Raw genomic sequence first — 23,714 nt, 5'->3', positions numbered from 1 at the left:
TTGAGCCAGGAGTTTGAGACTAGCCTGGGCAACAGAGCAAGACTTCGTCTCTACAAAAAATAAAAAACTGGGGCTGGGCACAGTGTCTCATGCCTATAATCCCAGTACTATGAGAGGCCAAGGCAGATGGATCACTTGAGGCCAGAAGTTCAGGATTGGCCTGGCCAAAATGGTGAAACCCTGTCTGTAGTAATAATACAAAAATCAGTCAGATATGGTAGTGCACCCCTGTAATCCTAGCTACTTGAGAGGCTGTGGCACGAGAATTCCTTGAGCTAAGAAAGTGGAGGTTGCAGTAATAAACGATTACTCCACTGCACTCCAGTCTGGACAACAGAATGAGACTTTATCTCAAAAAATAATTTTTTTTTGATTAGCTGGGTGTGGTGGTGTGTGATTGGAGTCCCAGCTACTTGGGAGGCTAAGGTGGGAGGATGAGTTGAGCCCAGGAATTTGGAGGCTGCAATGAGCCATGATCCCAACACTGCATTTCAGCCTGGGCAATAGAGTGAGAACCTTTCCCAAAAAGAAAACAAGAAAAAGAAGTGGAAAAAAATAATTCTTTCTGTGTGTTGTTTACTTAGCCTCTTTGTTGAAGAATCGGATGGGAGATTAAAAAAAAGTTTACTTCAGAAGGCAGTATTTCCAATAAACTATCAGGAGGAATAGAAGAAAAACATACACATTCACAGCAGGTAACTGTAGGATAAACCAATGGCTTATTATGGGAAGCATCCAGGAGAATTCTTTGTCCTCTGACCTCTAGAGAAAGTGTCTCCTCTCTGTACCGTTGACATTTCTTTCTCTCTTTCTTTCTTTCTTTCTTTCTTTTTTCTTTTTCTTTCTTTCTTTCTTTTTTTGAGACAGAGTCTCGCTCTGTCACACAGGCTGGAGTGCACTGGCATGATCTCAGCTCACTGCAAGCTCCGCATCTGGGGTTCAGGCAATTCTCCTGTGTCAGCCTCCCGAGTAGCTGGGACAACAGGTGCCTGCCACCAAGCTGGGCTAATTTACCATTGACATTTCAAACTAAGTCTTTGATTCTCTGTGGTGAGGGCTGGCCTGTGGACTGTAGGAGGTTTAGCAATATCTCTGGTGTCCATCCACTAAGAGCCAGTAGGCTTCCCTCAGCCCCAAGTTGTGACAACTAAAAATGCCCTCCAGACATTGCCCAAGTATTCCCTGCTGAGGCAGAATTGTCCCTTCATTGAGAATCACTGATCTAGCCCTAGAAGTTGCATCATGGATTGAGAAAATGCTCTGTCCCTAGACATAGCTCCTTAAGTGTTAACTTGCAAACAAATCACTGAGTGACTGGCATGAAAATGAAGAATGTGATCTCGGAAGTTTTGGTGAGTCCAGGTTGTTTTTCTTCCTAACCAGGTCCTGGATGCTGCCAACATTGTTGGTGCTTGGACTACAGCAAGTAGCAATGCATTGTTGGTAACTAGAAATAGGGTAAAATAAAAGGTCTAGCCCAAGTGGAATTCATGGGGTATTCCTTCCTTCCTCCTTTAAAAAGAACATCAAAACAGTAGAAAGATGATACCAATGTTTTTTATCCTCTGGGACATCTCACTGGAGCTCTGTATTTTCAGACTGCTATGAAAAAATATTATAAAATGAATGGCTTTTAACCCATTTCCCATTTAGAAAAAAGGTGCAGATCACTGCCAGCGCTCATTAAATTTGACATAACACACTCTTTGACTGAGGGAAATCTGATTTCCAATGGGAAAATAAAGTACGAAAACTGTTCTTGGAGTTATTTCTAAAATGCAATTATGTCTAATCCTAATATAAAATCTTATACACTTCTTCTATTACATTAGGATGAGGGAAAAGAGTATTCTTCGGGTAAATGGGAAATGGATTAAAAAAAAGACATTTACTGCTCACAGTTCTGGAGACTGGAAGTCCAAGATCGATGCCTGGTGAGGATCTTCTTCCTGTTTCACAGACAGTGCCTTCTCTTTGTATCCTCACATGGTGGAAGGAACAAGGGAGCTTTCTGAGACCACTTTTATAAGGGCACTCATCCCATTCATGAGGCTCCACACTTATGATCTCATCACCTCCCAAAGACACCACCACCTAACACCATCACCTTGGGGATTTGATTTTCAATTGAGGGTAACATAAATATTGACTTTAGCAAGCTATATCACTGTGTCATTGTTTGACTACATATTTCATCAAAATCACTTTACACAAATGTACAGCTAAGGTATTTTCTTCTCAGGAAAACATTTTTTTTTTTGGTCTCCCTAAAATCGTAACTATTTGTATTAAAATACTAACTGTCAACTCATGTTGCATGAGTTTTTGGAAGTGGCAAGCCACAAAGTACAAATCACTAAATTTCAGAACAAAACCTGAGTACAGTTTGTACATACTTCCTAGCTTTACAATATTTCTTGGGATGTTCTTGGGCTTAAAATATGGCCACACCAATGAGGTGGTATGTCAAAGAGCCTCTGTCCCACACCTCACTCTCTGGATTCCACACTCCAGAATGGGACTCCCAATCTCCTCATGGTTCACACTGGCAATGCCTGACACAGGATGCTGTTTCAACATTGAGACTAGGGTCCTTCTTCTTGTCCAGTTCCTGTATTTGGCATAGAATATTTTGAATAGCATTGAATATGTTTTTGAATATTGAATATTTATTGAATATTTCACATTCAATTGCATGGCACTGAATATTGTAGAATATTGTGGAATAACATTCCAAGCAGAAAAAAAACAGTAGGACACTTTGTTCTGACAATCTCAGATCTCAGTTCTGACCATATAAGTCTTGGGTTGTTCATCATTCAGAAGACACTACAAAGTAAGATGGGTGTAAGGGGAATAATCAAATGTATACAAAGGTGCTATCTTGAAGTGGACATGCAGTATGCCATGGAAGCATGAATGTGGTGTCTTTGTTGTTGAAAATGGTTCTAGCATCCTCAAGTTAGGCCTTGTGAATATGGTTTCAGAGGGAAGGTGGATTCCTTCACTGGTATTCACAGAACAATTCAAAACTTTAGATTTCTCAGATTAAGATAGTTATCTAAGTCTACAGACCTGAAGACATAAACATTTGTTCACCAAGAAATGTTTAAGCCAGAAAGAAACCCAACCACAAACCACCAAAGCCACAAACAAAAGACGAAACCAAACTAAACAAAAAACCCACAAATAAGCAAACAAAAAACTTTCCCTGACAGAAGCCACAGAACTTTATTTTGGGAAAAGAAAACTTTTTTTTTTTTTGGTCAAACTATCAGTTGCTATGAAATACTCTTAGATTTTTATCCTGCGCTAATATTTTGGGGAACGGGAAGGTGTGTTGTTTATGTGCTATTGTGAGCTGCCAAAATTTGAGATGGGTCTGGTTTAATTTAGAAAGTTTATTTTGCCAAGATTTAGGACGTACATCCATGACACAACCTCAGGAAGTCCTGATGACATGTGCCCAAGTTGGTAGGGGAACAGCTTAGTTTTATACATTGTAGAGAGATATGAGACATCAATCAATATATGTAAGAAGTATATTAGCTTCTTCCAGAAAGATGGGGACAACAGAAGCAGGGAACTGGCTTCCAGGTCACAAGTAGCTGAGAGAAAAATGGTTGCATTCATTTGAGTTTCTGATAAGTCTTTCCAAAAGAAGCAATCAGAATATACATCTGTCTTAGTGAACAGACGGTGACTTTGCATAGAATGGAAGGCAGGTTTGCCCTGAGCAGTTTCCAGCTTGACTTTTCCTTTTAGCTTAGTGATTTGGGAGGCCCAAAATCTCTTTCTTTCTAACTATGTTAAAAATAACATGAAAAAATTTATGAGGTATTAATGATGATGATGACGGTTATACAGACAACGAGAATGATCATGATATTGACATCCATCATGTAAGGGGGGAAATAAAGGTGATGGTGGTGATAATAATAGAATATAAACTGCTTTGCTCCTCTTTGGGAAAGCCCTAGAGATGCAGACCTGGGTGGCCAGTTTATGGTGTATTTGCCTAAAATACCATCTGACCTACTATGTCTTTTCTGCTTTTCTGCCTTTGTTTTCTATAATTTTTCAATGTCTGTTTATGCTTCTAAAAATTCTAGATAACTCCATCTCAAACACTGCATTCATTCTCCTTTTCTTATAAAACAATAAGGGTTTTCATTAAGAAGTAAGTCACAAGACTGCAAGAGAACAAATATAACTTTTAATAGGTCTGTCTCTCTTCCTCTCCCTACACCGCGCTGGCTGGAGGTGGAGGATTCAAATGGAATTTTGCATGAAAAAGTGTCCTGCTCACTCCAGAAAACTGAATATTTTATTCATAATCATCTTTGCATCATTCACATTACCTTCCCTGACCATTATTCAGGGAACTCTAAGAAATATAATATATACATCGACATAAATTTAGGAACAGTAGATATTAGGGAATATTAGAGTGTGGAGAGATGGAGGGGGCAAGGCTGAAAAACTAACAGTTGGATTCTATGCTCAGCACTTGGGTGATGGGATCATCTGTATTCCAAACCTTGGTGTCACATGATATACCCATGTAAAACACCTGCATTTGTACCACCCGAATCTAAAATAAAAGGTAAAATTATACATAAAAAAGTTTATGATCCATGAAATATAACAGACAAAAGTGTCTATTATGGTGTTTAATACAATTGGAGTTCAAAAAGTAGGTGGCGGCCACAAAGAGTGGCTCATGCTTGTAATAGCGTGATTTGGGAGGCTGAGCTGGAAGTGCTACCAAGGGGTCCTTGCTCCTAGAGCTCCCCAGATGGCATCTTGTGTCACTTCCAAGATGGTGGCAAGCCTCTTCTTCTCTGATCTGGGGTTCTTGGCCTCACGGATTCCAAGGAATGGAATCTTGGGCCATGCAGTGAGTGTTATAGCTCTATTAGAAGTCGTGGGTCACAGAAGAGAACTGTGGAACCCAGGGACTAGTGTTCAGCTCAATTAGGACAAACCCAGGCACTTAGCCATGCAGGAACAATGGCAAGCCTTTAGTCCAATCAGGAGCAGCAATAGGTGCCTCACTGGATGAGGAGCACAGCTGACACCCTGCTGGATCTGGAGGGGTGTAAGTCAGTGGTGGGTCTGCAATGGCAGCAAAGAGCAGGAGTGGACAGAGAGCAAAAGCTCAGCTTGAGCCATAACAAACATGGACCAGAAGAATGTGCAGATGTAAGACTTTATAATAGCGTGAATACAGAGCTCCCATACAAAAGGAGGGGATCCATTGCTGGCTCCAATGCCTGGGTGCATATCCCATCATTGTCCCTCCCACTGTGTTCTTAGGTGATAGATGATTGGCTATTTCTTTACCTCCTGTTTTTACCTAATTATCATTTTAGTGAGCTCTCTTTTCTACTTGAATGGTTGGGTGTGAGCTAAGTTGCAAGCCCTGTGTTTAAAGGTGGATGCGGTCACCTTCACAGCTAGGCTTAGGGATTCTTAGTCGACCTAGGAAATCCAGTTAGTTCTACTTCTCAGTCCCCCTTCTCGACAGGAAATCCCAAGTGCTGTTGGGGAGGTTGGCCAATGATCACTTTGTTTCCTGCTGAATTGTATTGTAGTAGGGGTTGTGGAGTTGAGATTTCCCTGTGAGGGGTGCCTTTGATGTCATCAATGTCGGAGCATGGGCTAGCAGGCTGGTCCAGGGGTCTGTGGTAGATCTTAGTCATGGACTGAATCTGTGGCTCCATCTGAAGAATGATTCGTAGTTTTACAGCTTCGATTCTGGAAGAGACACACTTAACAAGGAAGTTAAAGATATAGGGATTCAAATGGCCTGCAGTGCAGGGGATTATTTCTTTGGCACACTTCACAGGCCCTGACTATCTGCTTGATAGTTTTGAAAAGGACTCATCCAGTAAATAATAATTTGGCCATCCAATGGGTGCTACCAATGCCTAAGTGAAAGGTTTGGTGAAAGATTTTAAGCAATTTCCATTGGTTAGTTGTAGGAAAAAGTATTTTTCCTTCCTTGGTGGATAGCTATCCTGAGGGGAGGAAACTATGTCCTCATGGGTTTTCCTATACTATTTCTCCTGCTGAGTACTGGGGCTTGGTTTTACAGAGGGGATTACACCTTACTAGGGGTCCTTCCATAAGCATTTCTAATGGAGGATCCTGCTTTGCAGCTCTTTTGGCTTCAATATGCACTTGGCAGTTCCCTTCTATTTCCCTTTCCATTCCTTTCTGATGACCTCAGCTGTGTAAGACGGCCACATCTTTAGGTTTCTGTACAGCCAATAATAATCCCCTAATGGCTTCCTGATGTTTGATAGGTGTTCCTTCAGAAGTTAGGAATTCCCTTTCTCTCTATATTGTTGCATGGGCATGGAGGACTAAGTAAGCATACTTAAGAATCTGTATATAAATTTACCCCTTTTCATTTTCCTAATTCTAGTGCCCTAGTGAGGGCTATTAGTTCGGCCAGCTGAGTGCTAGTTCCTGGAGTGAGGGGATTACTTTCAAGTATTCCATTATCACTGACCATTGCGTACCCCACATTTCAAAATCCTTTTTCTACAAAGGAACTTCCATCAGTATACAAGTTGAGATAGGGATCAGTCAAGGGAACCTCTAGAAGGACCCCTTGAGCAGCGTAGGTTTGAGCAATCACCTGTTGACAGTTATGTTCTATCTTTTCCTCATTGTCTGGAATAAATGTGTGTGGGTTAAGAGCTGCAAAAGTACGCAGTCACAGCACTGGCCCTTCAATTAATAGAGCCTGATATTTAAGCAAATGGTTGTCTGACAGCCACAAGTCTCCTTTAGCAGTGAGTATGCCATTTATATCATGAGATGTCCACACAGTAAGATCTCTTCCCTGTATAATTTTAACTGCTTCAGATACTAAGACTGCTACTGCCACCACTACCTGTAAACAGTGAGGCCAATCCTTTGCCACTACATCAATTTTCTCACTCAGGTATGCCACAGGTTGCAAGCTGGTCCCTCAAACCTCTGTAAAGACTCCTAAAGCTATTCCTGTTTTTTCTCTGACATATAAAGAAAAGTCTTGCCCCATTGGCAAGCTTAACACTGGGGCTTGGGTTAGGGCCTTCTTTAGAGCATGGAAAGCCACTTTTGTTTCAGGTGTCCATCTTACTAAATGCGTATTGGCTTTCTGAGTTTCCTTAATTAATGTATATAATGGCCTGGCTATTTCGCCATACCTGGGAATCCATATTCAGCAGAAGCCTGTTATTCCAAGGAACTTCTCAGTTGCTCTAGGGTTTTGGGATGAGGATAAGCCAGTATAGGCTGGGTAAGTTCCTCATTGAGGGCCCTGGTGCCCTTGGGTAATTTTAGCCCTAAGTATGCAACCTGCTGTGAGCAGAGCTGAGGCTTTTGTTTGGAAACTTTGTAGCCACAGGTGGTGAGGAAATTTAACAGCGCTTGTATGGCTTGATGGCACAAGGTTTCTGAATGGGTGGCTAAAAGTAAATCATCCACGACTGGGCACAGTGGCTCACATCTATTATCCCAGCACTTTGAGAGGCCAAGGTGGGTGGATCACAAGTTCAGGAGATCAAGACCATCCTGGCTAACATGGTGAAACCCTGTATCTACTAAAAATACAAAAAATTAGTCGGGTGTGGCGGTGTGCACCTGTAGTCCCAGCTGCTGGGGAGGCTGAGGGAGGAGAATGGTGTGAACCTGAGAAGCGGAGCTTGCAGTGAGCCAAGATTGCACTACTGTACTCCAGCCTGGGTGACAGAGGGAGACTCCATCTCAAAATCAATCAATCAGTCAATCAATCAATCATCCGCATACTGAAGGACAAGAGTGTCCAGGTAGGAGAAATGGCTCAAGTCTTGGGCTAATGCCTGAGTGAACAGATGGGGGCTTTCCCTGAACCCTTGGGGTAAAACAGTCCAAGTGAGTTGAGACATTGGGTTTCCAGGATCTTCAAAGGCAAACAAGAATTGAGGTAGGATGTGCAGGGATGCAGAAAAAGGCATCCTTAAGGTCCAGGACTGCAAAACACTCTACTTCCTCTGGTATTTGGGAAAGTAGAGTATAAGGTTTAGGTACAGCTGGGTACAGAGGGACAGTGGCCTCAGTGATAATCCTGAGATCTTGCACTAACCTCCACTGTCCATTAGATTTCTGTACTCCTAAAATTGGAGTATTGCAGGGGCTAGTCCATGGTTTTATTAGGCCTTGGGCTTTTAGGTCCTCAACAACCTTTTGGAGTCCTTGTTGGACTTTGGGTCTATGGGGATACTGCCTTTGGTAGGGAAAGGAGGCAGCATCCTTTAGTTTAACTTGAACAGGACAGGCATTCTTTGCTCATCCATATTGTCCTTCTGTTGATCAGACTTCAGGATTAATTCCTTCCTCATGCAGGTGGAAACAAACAGGTGTTCCTTCTCCTATGTTCAGGTGTATAATGACCCCTGCTTCTGCTAGAATGTCTCTCCCTAATAAGGGAGTGGGGCTTTCAGGTATAATTAGAAAAGCATGTGAAAGTAAAGTTCCCCAGTCCCAACTTAGTGGCTGGGAGAAGTATCTAGTGACTGGCTATACTAGGACCCTTCTGATAGTGACAGATCTGGAGGACAGTTGTCCAGGACAGAAGAGTAAGACTGAGAAGTCCATGCCAGTGTCCAGGAGACAGTTAACCTCCTGGCCCTCAATGGTCAAGCATACCTGGGGCTCTGTGAGGGTGATGGCATTGGCTGGCACTTGCCCTGGGCACCCTCAGTCCTGCTGCTGGATCATCTGTTTAGTGGCTTCTGACTCAGAGAACCTTCATCCCCTGGGGCAGCGGGCCTTCCAGTGATTCCCTTGACATAAGGGGCATGGATGAGGGGGTGGCTTATTTCTATTTGGACAATCTTTTTAAAGTGTCCTTGCAGACTGCACTGGAAGCAAGCCCCATTAGGCATTCAATTTGCCGCCTGCTCTTCCTGATCTCTATTATAAAAAAATGAGGTTGCCAAGTTCAATAGGGTATAGTAAGTTTTGCTCCAGGCCAAAGGTGGACTTTTGAAGTTTTTTTCTAATGTCTGCAACTGAATGAGTGATAAAGTTATCCTTTAATATTAGTTGGCCTTTAACACAGTCAGGTGACAGAGAGGTATGCTTCCTCAGCGGCTTTCTTAGTCTCTCCAGAAAGGCAGTAGGCTGTTCTTCCTTTCCCTGTGTTATAGTGGACATCATTGAATAATTTATAGGCTTCTTCCTAGTTTTTCTCAATCTTTCTAGCACACAAATTAGCAAATGTCTGTGGCACAAATCTACATTTGCTGATTCTGCATCCCATTGAGGGTCTACACTGGGAACTGCCTGCTGGCCTGTGGGGAATTGTTCTCTTTCCTCTGTTGTCATCCTATCATTGACCTGATGGAGAGAGCAGAGATTGCCAAACTCTCAGGCTGCAGTTATGGTGGCACTTATCTCATTTGGGGTTAGCGTCCAATCTAGCAGTAACATTATTTCTCTCCATGTCAGGTCAAAGGATTGTCCTAACCCTTACAAAACATTAACATAGCCATCAAGGTTATCTGAGAATTTACTTAGGTCTATTTCAATTTTCTTCAAGTCTGACAAGGAAACAGGTACATATTCTCTGACTGGGCTGAATACTCCAGAATACATCTTTGGGGCATCTTTGCCTTGGAGGGAATGTTTGCCTTGGGGGGAATATCAGCACCCCAGTCATTTTCTGATGAGCATTAGTCCTAGAGTGTCCTCTATGGTCATAATGCTTATACTTTTCCAGGGTGTGTAACCACCAATGGACTTCTGCTTAATGGATAAGTTATGCTCACCAATGCGGCAGTACTGTACCTGTTTTCCTGCCCTTCTTGACCACCAAGAAAGAAAGTGGTCTGGGCTGCTGGATTCTAGTGGTCCTTTACCAAGTGTGCCCAACATTGCCTTTGTACTCATAGGTGAGTTCTAGAGCTGGGCTGGGTTCCTGAGTATTTCATAACAACCCAGCTGCCCCATCAATATGCATTGCTATAAACAACAGTTCTTACGCAAATTTATTTCAGAGAGGGTGTAGGTAACCTTTTGAGTCAGGATTGAGGTACAGTCTTTTTGATTCTGTAAGTACTTTAATGTTTGGCTGAGTGCACACAGCTAGCACGTTTGAGCAGACCAATTATTAGGCAATTTTCCTAACTCTGCTTCCACAAGAGTCTCCCTATCAATTACTGAATAACCATTGTATTTTTGTTTTTTCCCCCTCAATCACCTGGGATGAACCATCTATCCTCCTGTCCTGAAGGGAGTTCCTCGTAGGTGTGGTCGGACTTTTGTATGGCAATTAAGATTTAAATTCCCTGTTAGGATATCTGCTGGGTTAAGGGAATTTTCAGTGGTTAATGTTAAATCACCTTTTTCTAAAGAATAGCCCCATACTTTAAGATTTTTGAGTTAGTAAGCTACCTTTATGCTTTTTTGACTTAGAATAATTCTGAAATGGTGAGATGTGCTCACAAAGAGGTTTCGCCCAAAAGTTACTTTTCTACTTTCTTCTGTTAGCAAAGTAGTTACTGCTACAAATTGAATGCATTTGGGCCATCTGTAGGTTCCTGGGTTAAGGATTTTTGATAGGATGGCTACGAGTTGCCAGTGGTCTCAGTGTTTTCAGGTTATGACCTTGTTTACAATGCCAACAAGGTAGTATTGGAGTGTTATAGGGTCTTGGAGAAGACCTTCAATTATCAATTACAGGCTTTAAATTTACCCTGGCTTTTAAAGGAATAGGGCACACTGTTTTTTTCTTCTATCTTTCTTTCTCTTTCTTCTTTCTTTCTCTTTTTGACTCTTGCTTTGCCTCTCTCTCTTTCTCTCCCCTCTGTCTCTCTGTTTTCTGCTAGCCCTTTAGAAACCTGGGGCCTTGGCAAGGGTAGTGGGGAATGGGTCCCACATAACTGCCCATGTTGAGAGCTGTATGCATAAATTGGGAGGGATATCAGGGAAAAGACTCTCTGGGTTCATAGCCTAGGGGCCTAAGGATGCAGCTTAGAGCTTCCTTAGATCCCTTTGGAGATACAACTTGCTAGAGGAAATGAAAGTCTGAACCATTATTAATTAGGAGGCAGGGATTGGAGGAAGTAGATTCAGAAGTAAGGAGAATTTTGGGGCTACACTTTCAAGAAAGTCATGGTCAGGACCCAGGAGGTATAGATCAGAAGGAAAGGTGGGGGCACACGCATGGGCGACTGTTGAGTAGAGACTTCTGGCTGCACCATGATCTCAAACAGCTAATGCTGGGAGTTAGGGATGACAGCTTTCTGCCTCTAGTTAGCCCTCTGCTTCCCCAGGAATAATCAAAGAGGATGCTGGTTCTAGGCAGACCAATGCTCCCGACCAAGAAGGGTTGAGATTGTTAGAAAGCTCTATCCCAGACAGCCTCATACCTGAGTCTTAAGTCCAGCACCATGCTAACGTTTTTAACTACCTGACAGGTGCCCAGTATTTTCCTCCAATTCTAAGGAAGGGTAGGACAGAATAGCAAGCAAAAGTGGTCCAATATTACTCACTGCTTTGGAGGTCCCTTTGTGGTTGCCAAAAGGTTGCCAGGGGGACTTGCTTCTAGAGCTCCCAAGATGGTGGGGGCCACTTCCAAGATGGTGGTGAGCCTCTTCTACTCTGACCTGGGGTTCTTGGCCTCATGCATTCCAAGTAGGAATCTCGGGCCATGCTGTGAGTGTTACAGCTCTATTAGAAGTCATGGGTCACAGAAGAGAACTGTGGAACCCAGCTCAACTAGTTCAGCTCAACTAGACAAACCCGCGCACTTAGCCTTGCAGGAACAATGGTGAGCCTTTAGCCCAACTGGGAGTGGCAACAGGTGCCTCACTGGATCAAGAGCACAGCTGACACCCTGCTGGATCCAGAGGGATGGAAGTCAGTGGCGGGTCTGTGATGGTGGCAAAGAGCATTGCTGGATGGTGAGCAAAAGCTCAGCTCAAGCTGTAACAAACATGGATCAGAAGAGTGTGCAGTTGCAAGACTTTAAAATAGCATGAAAACAGAGCTCCCATACAAACGGAGGGGACCCAAAGAGGGTAGCCATTGCTGGCTTGAATGCCTGGGTTTATATCCCGATCATTGTCCCTTCCTCTGTGCTCTCAGGCAATAGATGATTGGCTATTTCTTTACCTCCTGTTTTTGCCTAATTAGCATTTTAGTGAGCTCTCTTTACTACCTTATTGGTTGGGTGTGAGCTAAGTTGCCAGCCCCATGTTTAAAGGTGGATGTAGTCACCTTCCCAGCTAGGCTTAGGGATTCTTAGTTGGCCTAGAAAATCCAGCTAGTCCTGTCTCTCCAGAGGTTCACTTGAAGCCAGGCGATCAAGACTTCACTGCTACAAAAAGTGAAAAAAAAAAAAAATTAGATGGGTTTGATTGTGCACACTTGTGGTCCCAGCTACTTGGGAGGCTGAGGTAGGAGAATCACTGAGCCTTGGAGGTTGAGACTCTAGTGAGCTATGACTGCACCACTGCACTTCAGCCTGGCCAACAGAGCAAGACCTTGTCTCCATTTGTTTTTTTGTTAAAGATCAAATGAAAGATGGACAAGAAGTGAAATCTAGAACTTTTCTCAAATACGTACAACAGGATGACAGCACACAACCTTCTTAATAGAGCTTAGCCAGAGGACAAGCTCAGTATTTTTTAGTTTGTTTTGTTTTTGAGACAGAGTTTCACTCTCGTTGCCCAGGCTGGAGTGCAGTGGTGCAACTGAAGCTTACCCACCTCTCCCTCCCGAGTTCAAGGAATTCTCCTGCCTCAGCCTCCCGAGTGGCTGGGATTACAGGTGCCCACAACTACGCCTGGGTAATTTTGTATCTTTAATAGAGACAGGGTTTCACCATGTTGGCCAGGCTGGTCTGGAACTCCTAACCTCTGGTGATCTGCCCACCTCAGTATCCCAAACACTTCTCTCCAAAGTGTTGGAATTACAGGCCAGAGACACTGTGCACGGCCTAGGGTCAAACATTTAAAGGAAACTGAGGCAGATTAACTAATGAACTACCAAGACACCAATTAAGAATTCAGTTGGTCTGGGCACAGAGGCTCATGCCTATAATCCCAGCACTTTGGGAGGCCAAGGCGGATCACTGGAGCCCAGGATTTTCAGACCAGCCTGAGCAACCTAGAACTTCATTTCTACAAATAATTAATTAGCCGGGAGTGGTGACACAAAACTGTGGTCTCACCTGCTTAGGAGGCTAGGGCAGGAGGATCACTTGAGCCTGGTAAGTGCAGTGGCGTGATCACAGCTCAGTGTAGCCACAACTTCCCAGGCTCAAGCAATGCATCCTCACGTGGTCATCCCTCTGTGGGTGTCTGTGCCCTTTTATTTTTTTAGAGACAGAGTCTTGCCGTGGCCCAGGAAAGAGTGCACTGGTGCAATCATGGCTTACTGCAGCTTTGACCTCCTGGACTCAACCAATCCTCCCATCTCAGCCTCCTGAGTGGCTGGGACCACAGGTGTGCGCCACCATACCCAGCATATATATATATGAAAACAGAGCAAGACAAGGTCTTGCTCTGTTGGCCAGGCTGAAGTGCAGTGGTGCAGTCATAGCTCACTAGAGTCTCAACCTCCAAGGCTCAGTGATTCTCCTACCTCAGCCTCCCAAGTAGCTGGGACCACAAGTGTGCACAATCACACCCATCTATATATATATACACACACAAACACACACATATATACACACACATATAAACACACACATATACACACACATACACATATATATTTTTAAATACACACACACACACACATACATATTTCTATACATGGAGTCCAGGCTGGTCTCAAATTCCTGGCCTCAAGCGATCCTCTCGTCTTAGCTTCCCAAGTAGTTGGGACTAGCAGCACACACCATCATATCTACATAATTTTTTAAACTTTTGTAGAGATGGAGTCTTGCTGTTTTGCCCAGGCTGGTCTCAAACTCTTGGCTTCAATACAGCCTCTCGCCTGGGCCTCCCAAAGTGCAGGGATTACAGCACCCAGACCCAGCTGGACGTTTGTTTGTAGAACTATGAAAAATATGGCTGAATTAGAAATTGGGTGGTGCCAAGTGAACTTCACCCAATGCTTCTGTCACCGCATCAGTTCTCTCTACCCTTTTCGCGTGTTGGAGAACTAACTTGCAAGGCAGGGGACGCGGCTCCAGGGCGCTTTGCCTCCCTCAGGCGGCTCAGGCTCTCAGTGCGCGAGACCCAGGGAATCTGGAGCCAACGCTACAACCCGCCCAAGGGCCGTTCCCGCTCACGGTGGAGCTAGCGTCTCTGCGCGGGAGAGGGGTTGCGCGGCCAGTGCCCACCCGGAGCAACCGCTCCGAAGCCCAGGTCCCCTCCCCTCGACGCCGACCCACTGCTCTCCTTGCCCAGTGACGCCCCAGGGCAGCACAGTCCGGAGCCAGGCCTTCTGGGGACCGGGGCGCACGTGGCCCGAGCTGTCCTTGAGCAGGGGCACGGACCGACACTCGCCGCATGGGCGCGCGGGGCAGACGTTTTGCCTCCCAGCGCTTCAATACCAGATGTTCAAAACCAGATGTTTCCAGACCATATCCCCGTCGCTTCCGACACTTGGAAAGACCAATTGCCAGGCCCCAGAAGGCAAGACGTTTGCGAAGGAAACCGCCAATCCGGTTGCTCGCTACTTCCAGGGTCGTGTGCTCCCTTACGCAGGACCCTGCCCAATCGTCAATGCGACGTCCTCCTACTCCCACCTCAGAGCTGTCACAGAGACTGTCAGTTCCGTCCCTCCCCTTCAGCCCTTTAACGCACGTCTTCCCGACCGCATAACTTGCTCAGTCCCTGCGGCCAACTGGGGCGGGCCAATGGCTGTGACGGATAAGGGGTGTGGGGTGCGGGGACAATGGGCCAGAGCTTCTCATGCAGCCTGCACCAGCGCCGGGTCGGAGAGTCAGAGGCCACCCTGAGATGGACCGAGATCTTCAGTTGGGGAGGCGCCTCCGGTGAGCTTGCGGCCAGATGCCCCCTCAGTAGTCCTCCGCAACAGGTGCCGCGCAGCCGAGTGGCGGGCTAGCATACCGCCTGCCCGCAATTCGGCCAGGCCTCGAGCCTGCTCCGCCTTCCCGCTGCGGTAGCGCCGCCGGGGAAACGCCGCCACGGGCTGCATGGGCAGCGCTCGCGCCCCGCCGCTGAGCCGCCGGGGAGCCGTCCAGTCTTCGAATCCCAGTAAGAGACGCCGCTGGCCTAGGGACAGTGGTTGGGGCTGGCCCGGGGCATTCGCGCGGCCTTGCAGCCTGCAGGCCTTCCCAGCCGACAGAGCTGCTGTGTGGGCCTTGGGTCAGGCCTGGAGGGCCGGGATCGGGGTGGGCGGTGGACTTTGGGGGCTCGGGGAGGTCGTGAAGGGCCAACAGGGGGCTCCAAGCGGGCTTGGGAGCTCGAGGGGCTCGGAGCGACGGTTAGGGGGACCCGAGGCCGCTGTGCGGGGCGGACGGGGGGCTCCGGGGCGGGGCTGGCGGGGCAGAAGGTCCCCAGGGGGCTGTGGGGGACCGACTGGGGGCTTCCGGGAGCGCCTGGGGGTTCTGGGAGCCCGGGGGCTGCTGTGAGGGGCTGCCGAGGGGGGCCCTGGGCAGGTGTTGACTGCTGCGGAACTCGGGGGGCGCCGACTTCTAACACACAACAGGGGCGCCTTCGCTGTTCGGTTCTGGTCGTAGTTGTTATTCTCAGCGTCCCTATTATTATTAGTAGTAGTATTCTTTTTATTTTATTTATTTATTTATTTTTGAGACGGAGTCTTGCTCAGTCGCTCAGGCTACAGTGCAATGGCGCGATCTCAGCTCACTGCAAGTTCCGCCTCCCGGGTTCACGCCATTCTCCTGCCTCAGTCTCCCGAGTAGTTAGGACTACGGGCGCCCCCACCATGCCTAGCTAAATTTTTTTGGTATTTTTAGTAAAGACGGGGTTTTACCGTGTTAGCCAGGATGGTCTCGATCTCCTGACCTCGTAATCCGCTCACCTTGGCCTCCCAAAGTGCTGGTATTACAGGAGTGAGCCACTGCGCCTGGCCAGCGTTCCTATTATTATTGCTCTTCTGGAATGAGAGCAGGCAGCTGCCGGGATCCCAGCCGGAAGGGGCGGGCGAAAGGCAGGGTTGCTGGGGGCGGGCGAAAGGCAGGGTTGCTGGAGGCGCGCGTAGGTTCGAGTAGGGACTGGAATGCGGGCCAACAGTGTGGGGGTTATTAGGGGGGAGGGTAGGCAGGTCGGAGGAGGGAGTTGGGAGGAAAGCGGCGGCGGTGGCGGCTTCAACAGCAGCTCTTGCCCTTAAGGAACAATGTGAGACGTTGCCTGAAATGTTAATTTCCGTTTCTCATTTCATCATCCAGGGCGTTGGGGAAGGGAGTGGGGAGTGATGTGAGAGTGTGTGTATGTGTGTCCCTGCCACTTGGATTCTGTGTGTGTGTGTGTCCCTGCCACATTCAGTCGTGTGTGTGTCCCTGCCACATGGATTCAGTCTTGTGTGTGTGTGTCCCTGCCACATTGATTCAGTCCTGTGTGTGTGTATGTGTGTGTGTCCGTACCTGCCACATTGTTTCAATCCCCTCTCAGAGGGATTGTGCTGTTAACGCTTGTATCTGTGTCATTTGGGAAGGTCGGTGGCAGGGGAGTCTAGGTTTTTCTCTAGGCCTGCTCTTTTCCTGGTGCCCGATTGACGTTTTCTGCTTCTGTTGTGTTTTTGAAAGGTATTCTTGTATACGAGTTCCAAGAAGTTTTGGAAGACACTGGGAAAATGAAGATTCTCTGACAGCTCCCTTTGCTTTAACTATTTTTCTTATAACAGTTAAGATGTAACATGCTTAGGTTTCATGGTTTTTGCAGGTTATGAGTAGTTTTGTATCCATTTGCAAGAACTGGATTTTTTTTTTTTTTTTGGTAGAGAAATCAGATTTCAGGCTTTCTTACATGAGGAGAGAGTTTCATGCGGTGATTTGAGCAATATCCTTTACACTTGAAATGAGAAATAAAATTGTTCACAATTGTTGAACTGCAAAACTTAGAATCTTTTGATCCTTTTTGAGGCAATGAGACTTATTCAGCCAACATGTAAGATGATATTGCTTGTGGAAAAAGTACTATTGAAACAGTTACTATTTTTGTTGTGTGCAAATGCCATTAATGGCATAACTAGGATAGTTCAAAATCAGAGACCCTGAGATTTTATTTGGCGTCTCTGAGCTCTTGATTTCTTTTATTAAATGTTGGCTGCGTGGAATACTTAGAGTTCTGTTAGTGTCTTTTGAGAGTGATTGAGCAAGTCCTGTAATATTACTTTGCAACTGGTACTTTGGTGTTTTACATAGTAAAATTAATGGTTCATCAAATGTAAGAGGAAATTTACTTTGCATATGGGCAATGAGCCCATCATCCATTAAATAACAGAGAGAGTATCAGTAAATGCTGGTTCAGAAAATAATCTACATTTGGTTGCCAAAATAAGTGTTTAGGTCTGTCCATTACCTTGTATAAGTCTCTTCATCGGTCAAATGGTAAGTGTAGTGGATGAGTGTTATTTAATAGCAAGGTATTTGCTAGTGAATAGGTGAAGATACATTGCTTATCTAACAGCATGTTGTATCAACTTATTTAAATTGCTGTGTAGTCAGTGTTCTGTAGGAATTGTGACCCGTTTGGTAAACTTTATAGAAAAATTGAATGAATTCAAATAACTAAAAGTTACTGTTTTGAAATGTTGAAATGTTTTCAGTGTGTGTTTTTTTAATTTAAATTTTAAATGGAATGTCTGTGCAATTCAACTTTCTAGCTTTTATCGTAAAACCATATGAAAGAAGGTGTCAATCTTCAGCTCTTGGAACTCAGGCAACTAAATAATTGCCTTAGAAAGCATTTTTTTTTTTTTTTGAGGTGGAGTTTCGCTGGTTGTCCAGGCTGGAATGCAATGGTGCAATGTCCGCTCACTCCAACCTCCACCTCCCTGGTTCAAGTGATTCTCCTGCCTCAGCCTCCTGAGTAGCTGGGATTACAGACATGTGCCACAATGCCTGGCTAATTTTTGTTTCACCGTGTTGGCCAGGCTGGTCTTGAACTCCTGACCTCACGTGATCCACCCGCCTCGGCCTCCCAAAGTGCTGGGATTACAGGCGTGAGCCATGGCACCTGACCCCCATAGAAGCCATTTTAGCCTTAGAACATGATCCACTTTAATGATCACTTCATTAATTTTGATAGACGTTTCTATTATTTTATTGTGTATTATTTGTTCATTTGTTTTTGAGATGGAGTCTCATTATGTCACCCAGCTGGAGTGCTGCAACCTCGGCTCGCTGCAACCTCTGCCTCCCATGTTCAAGTGATTCTCCTGCCTCTTGCTTTTCGTAATATAGAGACAGGGTCTCTATGTTGCCCAGGCTGGTCTTGTACTCCTGGGCTCAAGTGAGCTGCCCACCTCAGCCTCCCATGTTACTGGGATTACAGGCAGGAACCACTACATCCGGCCCAGGGGTTCTATTATTAAGTGGCTTTTATTTGTTTGAGAAACCTTTTTCATGGCATCTCTTAACCTAGAGTCAGATTCAGCTTATATTGTTTTATGTATGTATAAGGCAGAACTTCAGATGTTATTTTTTTTAATAACATCCCAAATGATGATTGTGGCCTAATTCTGAATACATGCCTCATTCTTTTACCCCGCCTCAGGCCTCCAGTCGGATCCTGCGTCATTCTGGCTGCCTTGGCCTTTCCTTTCCTCAGTTGAGCCAGGTACCATAGTTTTTGGCATGGCTTTGACATATCTATCGCTGTCTCCCATGCAGATGCCTCCATCACAACTCCAAGATAACTGTTACTCAGCCTTTGGGTCTTAGTTTAATATCACTTGATTTTAGCATTTAGCAAGCCTTTTTTTTTTTTTTTTTTTGAGACAGGATCTCACTGTGTGGCTCACTATGGAGTGCAGTGGCGTGAACATGGTTCCCTACAGCCTTGACTTCCCGGGCTGAAGCGATCCTCCCACCTCAGACTCCTGGGTGGCTGGGACCACAGGCATGTGCCACCATGTCCAGCTAATTTACTTTTATTTTTTTAGAAACGGGGTCTCCTGGCCTAGTGCAGTGGCTCATGCCTGTAATCCCAGCACTTTGGAAGCCCGAGGTGGGTGGATCACAAGGTCAGGAGTTCGAGACCAGCCTGGCCAACAAGGCGAAACCCCATCTCAACTAAAAAAATACAAAAATTAGCTAGGCATGGTGGCATGTGCCTGTAATCCCAGCTACTCGGGAGGCTGAGGTTGGAGAATTGCTTACCTGGGAGGTGGAGGTTACAGTGAGTCGAGATTGTGCCACTGCGTTCCAGCCACGGTGACAGAGCAAGACTCAGTCTCAAAAAAACAAACAAAAAATAAAAATAAAAAAAGAAATGGAGTCTCCTTATGTTTCATAGGCCTCAAACTTCTGGGCTTGCCTCAGCCTCCTAAAGTGTTGGCATTATAGGCGTGAGCCACCATGCGTGGCTCCCATTTGTTTTCATTACAGGTTTGCTTTTATAATTTACATAAAGGTGGGAACACAGTTTTCAAAATTGGCAGAAGAGATAAACATAATTAAAAGGAATGTTGTCTTTGTGGGAAGTAAATGCTTTCTGTGAAAGCAGTTTTAGTAAGACTGGTTTTTAGGCCAAAGTAGAAGGCCATAAGCTGTTTTTATTCTAATTTCATCATCCTTTCCATCAGGATTTCAGATGCTGTAAGGGATGGGTTGAAATCAGTTTTGGCTGCTGCTGTTTATGAGAATTTAATGTTTCATTTGTAACTTTGAGTACCTTCCGGCCAAATGTAGCTGAACAAGTGGAGTCATGTGAAAATTTTTGCATTTTAATGAAGAAAAAAATATTTTCTTTTGAGGGAAATACAACAAAATAGAGGTGTGCCTTATTGATTTTCCCATGTTTATGTTTTCAAAGTGTCTTTTTAAATGAAACTTAATTGGTGAAAAATGGCTTTTGAAAAGACTATGAGTATATTTAGGAGATCGAGACTTGTTTTCATTTTTTGGCTTTATAGTAAGAGGCAAGGATATTTGGTGGAGGGAAACTGGTTGCTTGTGGTTGAAAACATTCAGACACTGTTCTAGGTCTAAGAAATCTTACCTTGTAGTTCGAAAACTGGTTCTGTGAATAAAGAGTTAAAAGCACATTTTCAGTGTGAAAATAAAAGTAAGCCATCCTGTCAGTAATGGCTGAGATTTTTCAAGCGCTGAAAGAGCCAAATCTTGTTGACTGAAAATCCCATCTTCTGGGATGCCCCACACCTGCTTTTTCTCTTTCCTCTTAGAGGTCAAGGTTGAAGTGGCTGTGTGGGTGCTGCTGTCTTAGTTATAGTGTCCCTGTGGCTGGCGGAGCGTGAGACCTGTTTCCAGGCTTGTTCTTGGCATTTGTGTATTGAATTATTTATTATCCTGAAAAATCGGTAGGTCCCCTTTTTTTTCCACTTACACAGCAACCACTGTGCACCCACTCTTTATTTGAAAATGTTGGCTTTTTCTCAATGCAAAACATTTCTGATCACTTCTATGAAAATTTTTTCTGTCATGGTAAAATTATGAAACTTTCCCCCTCATTACTTAACTCTAAAAAATGTGACTTTTAAGAATGGATGAAATTGAAATTCTATTGTAAATGCTTAATAAGTTTGTCATATCAGAGGTTATTTTTCATGTAACATTAGCAAATAGACCTCTTTTCTTGATGCATTAATAGTAAGTAGCTGGCTAGGCGTGGTGGCTCATGCCTGTAATCCCAGCACTTTGGGAGACTGAGGCAGGCAGATCATGAGGTCAGGAGTTTGAGACCAGCCTGACCAACATGGTGAAATACTGTTTCTACTAAAAATACAAAAATTAGCCCAATGTGGTGGTGTGCACCTGTAATCCCAGCTACTCAGGAGTCTGAGGCAGGAGAATCACTTGAACCTGGGAGGTGGAGGTTGCAGTGAGCCAAGATCGCACCACCACACTCCAGCCTGGGTGACAGAGCAAAACTCTGTCTCAAAAAAAGAAAAGAAAAAAAACAACAACGAAGTAGCACTTTCTCTCCTCCCTGTGGCAGTTTTTGGACTTAGGTTGCTAATGTCCTGAAATAATGAATGCAGTCATTCTAAGCAATGGGAAGATTGTGTAGGGTGCTTGATTCCTGAGGTTTTACCAGAGTTGGGATTAGCTTATGTCCTGCTTTCACACTGGCACAATCAAAGAAGATTTTGATTTAATTCTGGATGATGATGTAAACTTAAGATTGTTATGGCTATATTGTTTAAACTTACCTAAAATAGGAGAGAGTAAGAAGCAGTGAGGGACTGTATTTTACTCTTAAGATATCAAGCTTTGTTAGTATTCTACCATGTTTCTAAATGTGGTTTTACAGATACAAAACAAGAAATAAAAGTAAAACAAACAAAAAACCCCAAAGCACCACTCTTGAAAGGCTTAACTTTTAAAAAGTTATTATTACCAAGATGTCTGGCTAATTAAAGGATGTGCAGAGCACTGAATAAACCTTGCCTTTTTAGGTGGTGACAAAGAAAAAAATCCAGCTTTTAGGAGGCTGAATAATGTCTTGAGAACTTGTATTAGTATTCCACAACCCCACAGTTGATTCTAATTTGAAGGAATTTTTAGACTTTGTGCATATTTCTTTACTAGAATTGTATGTTTGGCTGGTTATTTATTTAAATTACATACATAGATATTTTTTGTTACCTTGAGAATAGTCTATCTGAAATTTGAAGTTCTTTAGAGCATAATATATTAATATGCTAACAATCAGAACATTTTCTTATAGGTATTTTTTCCCCTAACATAAGAGAGGTATATTTGAATTGTATCCTTTATCTTTTAGTATGAAACTCAGAAAAGTGCTATGTACTTTCACTTAATAGTTTAGATAATGCTAAACAGATGTAACCTTAGTGAAATTTACATTCAAATTTTATGTTTCTTTGGCAAAGTGATTAGATCTGATTCTACTAAACTTGGGTTCTTATCAGATGACTGGCTTTTTTAAAAAGATGATGCTGAAACTTTGTATTACTTTTGTAAAGAGGGACATTTAAGTTGAGGCTAATGGCACAGTGAAGTTTTCGGGAGTTGAGGAGAAAATATCTCTTAGAATTTAACCTACACCTTCTCCTTTTCCTTAATAGCTTTCTTCTAAGTCCATAAATACATTGGTTCAGGGGGATGAGACGAAGGCAGATGGAGGGTGTGTAAGCAGCAGTGACGTGGGAGATACGGAAGGTAGAAGGGAAACAGCTCCCAGCCGTTGGAGAAGCACTGGCACTTTTATCAGTGCTGCCTGTGTTGGTTTTCTGGTGATGCTGTAACAAACCGCCATACACTTAGATGTATTGTTTTATAGTTCTGCTGATTAGAAGCCTAATGTGATCTGCCTGGGCTAAAATTAAGGTGTGGGTAGGGCTGGTTCCTTCTGGAGGCTCCAGTGGGGAATCTCTTTCTTTCCTTTTCCATGTTCCAGACGCTGCCTGCTTTCTGTGGCCTGTAGTGCTGCAATCTTCAAAGCCAGCCTCATGGCATCTCTCTGACTCTTCTGCTGCCCTGGTCCCCTTTTTTTTGGAAACAGGTTCTTGGCTGTGTTGCCCAGGCTGAAGTGCAGTGGCACAATCAAGGCTCACTGCAGCCTTGGCCTCCTGGTCTCAATCAGTCCCTCTGCCTCAGCCCCCCGATGGTGCTGGAATTACAGGCATGGAACCACTGTGCCTGGCCCCTCTTCCTCTTGTGATTACAAGTGGAATCTTAGTCTTGACTTGTGATTACATTGGGCCCATCTGAACAATGCAGGATCATCTCCCTCTCTGCTGATTAGTAACCTTAATTTCCTTTTCCATGCAACCTAAGATATTCACAGGTTTCAGAGAAAGGACACGGACCCACTGGGACATTCTTCTCCTTCCCACACTGGGACCCTGTCATCACATGTATGATTGGAGCAGGGTCGTGCACCTGGCTGCAGTGCTTTGAGTTGGTTCACCAGAGTCCATGTGGCCAGAGTAGTGTGGCATTGTTGGGGGACTACTGAGCAAGCTGGAGATTTTTCCAATAATGTTCCCTTGCTGTCCCAGGATCCCATCCAGGATCCCACGTTGCCTTTAGTTGTCATGTCTACTTAGTCTCTTGTATGTAACTATTTCTCAGTGTTTCCTTGTTTTTCATGACTTTGGCAGTTTTGATGAGGGCAGTGCTTATTTTTTATGTCTTTGTGACCATTCACACATTTGGCACCATTGTAAAACACTGTGTGGCTGACTTCTAGCTTACCTGTCTGCTCTTCCCAATGGGATGCACTCCATTGTGGGAGAACAGCTTTGTGTCTTTTTTCAACTTGAATGAGTTACATGTTTTATGGAAGACTTCTAAAACTAGACAAACTTAGCTTTTTCTGATGTGTTTTAGGAAACACAAAGATGGTGCAGACCCAGGCCCTGCTTTGACTGGGAGAAAGATGCATTCAGTTGACTAAAACTTGAAGTAAGTACTGGTTCCTGTGAAAAAGGATATAATATATCATAGGTGAGAAGGGCTCTGTGACCTGGGAGATTTAATGGAAGATGTGCTTTTTTTTTTTTTTATTTTTTTCATTCTGAGTCACCTATTCTGTAACCACCCTTCCCACTAAACTACCCAGCCTGCCACTCCGGCTCATACC

The 23,714-nt window shown here is 44.5% G+C and overlaps 2 long non-coding RNA genes across 9 annotated transcripts in view; one reads left to right on the top strand and one right to left on the bottom strand.

The window, feature by feature from the left end:
• Positions 1-3,381: 3,381 nt before the first annotated feature.
• LOC124905306 (uncharacterized) lies at positions 3,382-12,404 on the bottom strand. Its single transcript, XR_007068460.1, has 2 exons — positions 11,535-12,404; positions 3,382-5,760 (listed from the first exon to the last, which is right to left on the bottom strand). It is a non-coding gene; the product is annotated as an uncharacterized LOC124905306 (long non-coding RNA).
• Positions 12,405-14,712: 2,308 nt separating this feature from the next.
• The window catches only part of TTTY14 (testis expressed transcript, Y-linked 14), a 205,047-nt gene continuing 196,045 nt past the window's right edge, over positions 14,713-23,714 (top strand). For 2 of the 8 annotated variants that reach the window (NR_125734.1, NR_125733.1), the window contains exons 1-2: positions 14,713-15,215; positions 23,462-23,536. This is a non-coding gene — a long non-coding RNA (testis expressed transcript, Y-linked 14). Of the gene's footprint in view, positions 15,216-16,230; positions 16,320-18,698; positions 18,762-23,461; positions 23,537-23,714 lie in introns of those variants that run through there. The other 6 variants (NR_125736.1, NR_125737.2, NR_125735.1 and 3 more) reach the window with 4 other exon arrangements.

The sequence above is a fragment of the Homo sapiens genome, chromosome Y (assembly GCF_000001405.40).
Source record: "Homo sapiens chromosome Y, GRCh38.p14 Primary Assembly".
Classification (NCBI taxonomy): Eukaryota; Metazoa; Chordata; class Mammalia; order Primates; family Hominidae; genus Homo; species Homo sapiens.
This window is presented reverse-complemented; position numbering and strand designations above follow the sequence as displayed.